General features: G+C 44.3%; 1 protein-coding gene across 8 annotated transcripts in view, besides 1 other annotated feature; it reads left to right on the top strand.

The window, feature by feature from the left end:
* Positions 1 to 4834: 4834 nt before the first annotated feature.
* GPR63 (G protein-coupled receptor 63) overlaps positions 4835 to 6386 on the top strand; it is a 43353-nt gene continuing 41801 nt past the window's right edge. For 2 of the 8 annotated variants that reach the window (NM_030784.4, NM_001143957.3), the window contains exon 1: positions 4835 to 5044. The gene's annotated coding sequence lies outside the window, so the exon portion shown is untranslated. Of the gene's footprint in view, positions 6048 to 6386 lie in introns of all 8 variants that reach the window. The other 6 variants (XM_011536155.2, XM_011536154.3, XM_011536153.2 and 3 more) reach the window with 6 other exon arrangements.
* Positions 5276 to 5325: a silencer, noted in NCBI's record as "silent region_17408". NCBI's record gives its function as "represses an Ori minimal core promoter by ATAC-STARR-seq in GM12878 lymphoblastoid cells {active_cell/tissue: GM12878}" and the evidence as "EXISTENCE:reporter gene assay evidence [ECO:0000049][PMID:35858748]".

Genomic DNA, 6386 nt, shown 5'->3' with positions numbered 1-6386 from the left:
TTTGTAGTCTGACCCCTGTTTTTTCATGTCATTGATTCCATATGGAAATCAGGTCACTTTGCTTATTGAATGTTTGACATTCTGGATTTGATTGATTGCTTTCTTCAGATGATTTCTAACTTGATCCTCTGTCCCCTGTATTTCCTGTTAGGTCTAGAGGCTTGATTAGATTCAGATTCCGTTGCTTAGGCCATAAAACCTCTCAGTGGTTCTGGGTACTTCTGATTTTGTCATATCATGAAGTACATGGTATCTGCTTATCAGACTTGTAGTTTATAGTGTTTTTCCCCCTTTATCTTCGTTGTTATGTCTCTTTGGGGGAATTTAAATTTATGCTACCTTTATTATCTTTCTCCAGCCAAAGTTCAGAAAAGTCTGGATTTACATAGACAAAACAATCAGTCAAAATACAGTGGTCTAGATACTGAATTTCTTGGACAAGTTGTATTTGAAAATGTTTACTCTTTCATACACAAAGGGATTGATTAAATAGGGGAAAAAGTTTGTAAGTTATGAACACTTAAGAGGGATTACTGAATGTAAAATTACAAAAAGCACATCACTAATTACTATGTTTAGAAACTACACTATTAAAAGTTAGGATGAAAATAGCTGGAATTTAATGAGTCATCTGCTAATTATTCAGCTTATGGATTTCTAATGCCACTTACTTCTAGCCTTTCTGCTTTTCCTTAGGGAGTTTTTGGTGGTATTTTTACTGCCTTTTAACACCTCCAGAAACGACTCTATGCTTACAACTGACCATAAAATGTACATGTGGAGAGACACATGAAATATTATGACTCAGGATTCATGCTGTGTTACTGAGGTAAACCATGAGCAGTTTACACCACAGTTGAAGATTTTTCAGGGGCAAATGCAGAGTAGAAAGTAGTTAGAAATCTGCTGACTACCTGGCATGCTATCTATGGGAAGAAACGTAACTTATCAAAGTCAATGTACTCACTGAGGAAAGAGACAGGCTCCTCAGGTGCTAGATGTGTTCTATGGCTCCAACTCAGGGTTCTCAGCCATGATTGCACATTGGAATCACTTGGGCAGCTTTTAATCTCACTGATGTCCAGAGTCAACCCTGAAATTGAATCTGGGTCTCTGAGGATGGGCCCCAGGCAACGGTATTTTAAAAAAAACCTCTCAGGTGATTCTAATGTGCAGTCAGGGTTGAAAATATCCAATCTAGTCAATAAGAGGTGGCATTTACAAGTCTTACTGTGTGCACAGGACTGTGCAGAAAATCTCTTGCACATAAAGAAATTGATGCTTGGAGAGATGTTATTTGCTCAATGTCTTGCCTCAAAACAGTTTCACACCTAGTCTATTTAGCTTCAGAACCAGAGGCTTTTGAGCTTACTGTGAACATTAACCAAAGTAAGACATTGAATTCATGTCATAACTCAGAACACGCATGATAATGAAACACAAGTTTAACAAATAATACTTATTAAGTATGATGCATGCTGATATTTTAATTAAAATAATACTAGTCAAAACTTAGTAAAATGACTTCATGACTTGGAGTTTGAAAAACTTTTCTAAACCATGACAGTACAGGTTTCATTTCTGTTCCTGCAAGTGGCAAGATCTTTTTCCCATCAATGCCTTCTCATTTTGTTTGCTTTCTTGCTTGGAAAATCTTTCCTTTTTCCTCTGCATTTAAAAAAGACCATCTAATTGCTTCCTCGCTAGAAAGTGTTTCCAAGACTATTCCAGTCCATAGTGTCTCATTTTCTGATGCCTATTTTTAATACACGGAGATCATCCCACACTTTTTACACTAAATTATATGATATATTGTGATGTTCTGTAATTGTCTTATATCTTAGATAGTTATGTCTCTTTGAGGACAGTGACTACATTCTATGCTTTTGCTTCTATATCCTTCGAAATGTCTAGCAAAAGCACATGTGTGTTAGGGACATCACAGATACTAAAAAACAGCTATGTACCCTACACAAGTCAACCTTTGAGCTTTCATTTCTTTAGCTCTGAAATGAAAGGGATGTTTTAGGTTATTCTAAAGTCTCTTCCAGTTTATTAGTCTAAATTTCTATGATATATGAGGATTTCTATAAAATGCACAAATGAAGAAAAAAATACAAAACTTTTTTTTTTAGCAACTACTGTAAAAGAAAAGTTCTTGTGTGAGACAAAAAAAGCCTGAAATTTTTTGTCACTTTTTGGTAGGCAAAATAAACACCTTTTCAGAGAGAAAGATAACATCTTTCTCTCTGAAAAGATAAAGTTACTGAAGTTTAAAAACAAAGCTGGGCTCTTTGGCACTTGGATACTGAAATGTGATTATTCGTAGGCCACTTTTTTTTCCCCCAAGTTGAATATATATATATATATCAGGGAATTTCCATGAGCTCTTATCAAATTAAATTGATTGCATAACTAAAAAGGCCTAACAATGAATGTGGGCTTGAGGTACATGGAGGCAGGTTTATAATTTAGGGAAAAATAATTGAATACAATCATGGTTTATATATTGTTTGTTTGCAGGTGGTTTGTGAAATGTCACAAATGTCACTCAGGATCTTCTCAGTGGCTCTGAGGCCAAAGGATGTGGCTGGTTGGCTCAATTACTAGCACCTCCATGACCCATCAGCATTCTCATTCTTCTGATCCTGAGACTGTTGGTAAAGGAGCAGAGAGGTGGTCAGTCCCCTTGGTGACAGTGGTGGTGATGTGTGTATACTGGGGAATGGGGATTGTAGTGGGCATTTATAGTCTTTATCTACTCAACATTCTTTTGCCTTCTTTATTAACAACACTTTAATTTTCCTTTGGGAAACCTCTTTCTTTCTACTCGGTCCCTGTGGTTTGGGTATATATGAAGGGTACATACAATTATTTCCCTTGACCTTTTTGTAGATAAAGGCAAATAACCCCAGCCTGGCAGTGTGCATTCCATCCCATAGTTACAATGGTTAGTTCAGAGATGAACGCAGGATCCACGTGGGTCTGGTGAGACATTCTTCAGCTTGCTTTCTTTCTGATGCGACTAATTGCTAAGGAGGTTGGATGTTAAGACTGGAGATGTAGGTCTTCCCTCTGTTTAGAGAAATAAAACCAGTGCAGTGAAAGCACAATGAAGACAGGGAGAGAAATTGAGTCCTGATGCTCTTTGAGTATCTGGAGTAAAAAGGATTTCTAAGAACGTGTGTGTGTGTGTGTGTGTGTGTGTGTGTGTGCGCGCGCCAGTTCTACTTATGGGATTTATAAACATATGAACCAATAAATTCCAATGCCCTTTGCTGCAGGTTTTGCTAACTCAGTTTGAGTTGTGTGCTGGCCACATCCAACTATCCTGACTTCACTTTTGCTCGCTGATAATCTCCTTTCCCATCTTAAAAGTTTGGTCCAGGCAAGACCATGTCTCCTGCTTTTATTGAGCCCAGGGCTTATTTCGTCTCCATCTGGTTACAGAAGTTTCTTCAACCTTTTGTATAGTCTCCTCTTGCCTTATTCTTCTACAAGTTCAACACAAGTGCTTCTTTCACAGCTGTAGGTGGCAGGAGGCAAAGAACTGAGATGTTCTGGTTCAGTCTCAGGGTAGTGATATGCAAGTGCCTTTGTGTGAATGAGGAAATGCCACTCTCTCCGAGCTTGGTGCTAGGACTGGTGCTCTGGAACCCAGGCTAGATCTTAACTCCAAATTGCCTGCCCACCTCCTCAGACAGAGGACACAGTGCAGAGTACAAACTGCACAACACTATACTGAAGTCCCATAGGTCCAAGAAGCAAGGGTTGGAACTATGAGGTAGAAAAACAAGTCCGTGGACAGTAGCAACCCTCTGCTGCTCATGCCCACTGCTGCTGTGGTCTCTTCCTAGGGTGACGATAGCTGCTGATGCTGGGAGCCTCCTGGGCATCACCACCTGAGGCTGTGGCCTCAGTAATGATCACATATGTTGATAATAGCTGAAAATATCACTTGTCACTGAAAGCAGCATTTTCCACTGTCTCAAGATGATACTTTTTCTGGGGGGTCTTCCTGAGTTGTTTGGCATCTTTACAGCCCATGTGTTGATGAAAGTGAATCGTTTTAGAAATCCAGTGGGAGGCCAGCTGGGGATTGGCCATTGGAAGAGAACAGAGCACCGGGTAAAGGAGGATACCTGGCAATTCTCCCATGCCACACATCAGGGACACCTTCAAGCATTGGTCTAGGGGCCCCAGCTGGCTTTTAGTTATTTCAGTCTTCTGGACGCCTGCGTGAGACCCTCATCATTGTGTTGGAAATGAGGAAGAATAACCAAAGAAGAAACGCGAGTAGCCTCGGGGAACGCAAATCCACTGGGCAGTAGCCACTGGAGGTGCACTCTGGGGGCCCGTGGGAGCGGGAAACCAGGACCCTAAAAGGACTGCCAGGGATTAGGGGCGGGGCGACCGTCTGGGAGCGAGGCGCGGGGTGCAGGGCGCAGGCCAACGACGAGGGTTGCCCCAGTGCCGGGTGGGCGCACTTGCGGTACCCTCGATGCCTTTGCCCAGGCGGAGGAACGATGCGACCTGAGCATAGAGGGGTTCAGGGCAGGGAGCGGTCGAAAGGGGCCGGCGATCCGCCCTGGGGCAGCTCGGGCGTGGCCTCCAGGGATCTCTCCGTCTCTACTTGCCTCCTCCCTCTTTACTTGCCTCCTCCCTCTTTACTTGCCCCCTCCCTTTTTACTTGCCTCCTCCCTCTTTCTCTTCTCTCACTCACCTCCCGGTCTAAAACCGGGGCCGGCGCCTTTAAGAGGGAGCGTTGGTTACCCTGGGGGCGGGAACCCCTCGGCGGCTCGCGAGGCGGCGGCGCTCGTCCGCGATGCTCCTCACTTTCAGCTCCAGCTCCCGCCACCGCCGCCTGTATCGCCGCCGCCGCCACCACCTCCTCTTCGTTGTCCTCCTTCCTCCTCCGCCTGGCAGCGTTGTTCTCTGCAGCGGAGGAGAGAAGTGCTATGTCAGGAAAGTTCCGGGAGGGACTACATGGAGCCATGCTCCCTGGGCTCTTCCGCGGGCGCCCGCGCGCTGCCCTTCGCTTGAGGTGAGGTGAGGCTCGGGATCCCCGGCCCGCGATCCCCGGCCCGCGGGACAGGTAGCCGCTCGGGGCGGGGAGCGCTTGCATCCGCTGCGCTGGGCAGGGCGAGCAGTTTGGCGGAGTGCGGGGAGGAATGAGGCTGGAGAGACCGAAGTTGTGCCGGAGAAGCTTGGGTTTTCGGGAGGGTTTTTGCAGCTGGACTGGAGTTATTTCGGTCGGCGCCACACGGTGGGGACCCGGCGGGGACTCGGTTTCTCCCGGGCCGCCCGCCCCCCTCCCCTGCCCGTCTGAGCGGTTAGGCCTTCTAGGAAAACGGTCGGCTGCAGAGGGGCACCCCATGCCGGCTCCTTTCCTGCTGGGCTGTTCTGGTTGAGAATTCAGTGCTGGGAGTGAGAGGAAGGAGATGAGCTCCACTTGAACTTTTACACGGTGGTCTCGCTGCTTGAGGGCTGAAATTTACCTTGTTTGCGAGAGCGAAAGGTCCTTTCGCGCTCCAACAGTTAAGAGAGGTTCCCTCTTCCATGTGGTTCAGCTTGCGGCGCTGTGTGTTGCATCCTTGGCCGGTTTTCAACGTCGCCCTGATTTCAGTCTTTTCTCCTCTGCCCCTTTTCGGAAACATTCTTCTTTTTAATAATAAAATATGTTGTGGAGGCTCAGAGTGCTTAAAAAAAAAATCCAACAACATATCTTTATGAAAATTTCCCCCAGGGCTTGCCCAAATTTTCAAAGAGATCGTTTAGTCTTGGATGAGACTGAGTCTCGACACTTAGGGAATACAGGCATCCCTATAGTAGCATGCAGGTTTTTAGTGAGGTAGGATGAAGTTTAAACCATATGTTTTTAAAATAGGATTTCTCTTTGTTTATTGGGTGAGCTTGTTTTTCATTATGTCTTAGATTAAGAAGCCTTCAACCAGTTCTAGGAGTAGTGTTTCTAAGAATCATGGATAAAAACCTCATGTTTCTTGCATAAGCTGATACTGCTTCAGACATTCTAATCCATTGACGAGGTATGTAATACGTGTTTCATTTAATGAAACCTAACATAAAAGTACATTTATTGCAGACGTGGATAAGTTTTTTTTCCCACGTGTCCCGTGGGTAAAGGAAGCCCCATTTTCTCACACCCCTAGGTCTCTGCCACACCTCTATTCCTGTTTGCCTTATTCACTCACATTGCCAACTACAAATCTAAGGTGCTGATGAAAAGTCCCTATATTTTGTAAAATGTTGCATAGCCAAAATTTTAGTGACATAATTGATTACATCAATTATGAGCATTCAGATCATTTTGAACAATAAAAACAGAATGTGGGAGCTTATTTAAATAAAAGAGTGCCTTGACGTAT

Source organism: Homo sapiens, chromosome 6 (assembly GCF_000001405.40).
Source record: "Homo sapiens chromosome 6, GRCh38.p14 Primary Assembly".
Lineage (NCBI taxonomy): Eukaryota > Metazoa > Chordata > Mammalia > Primates > Hominidae > Homo > Homo sapiens.
This window is presented reverse-complemented; position numbering and strand designations above follow the sequence as displayed.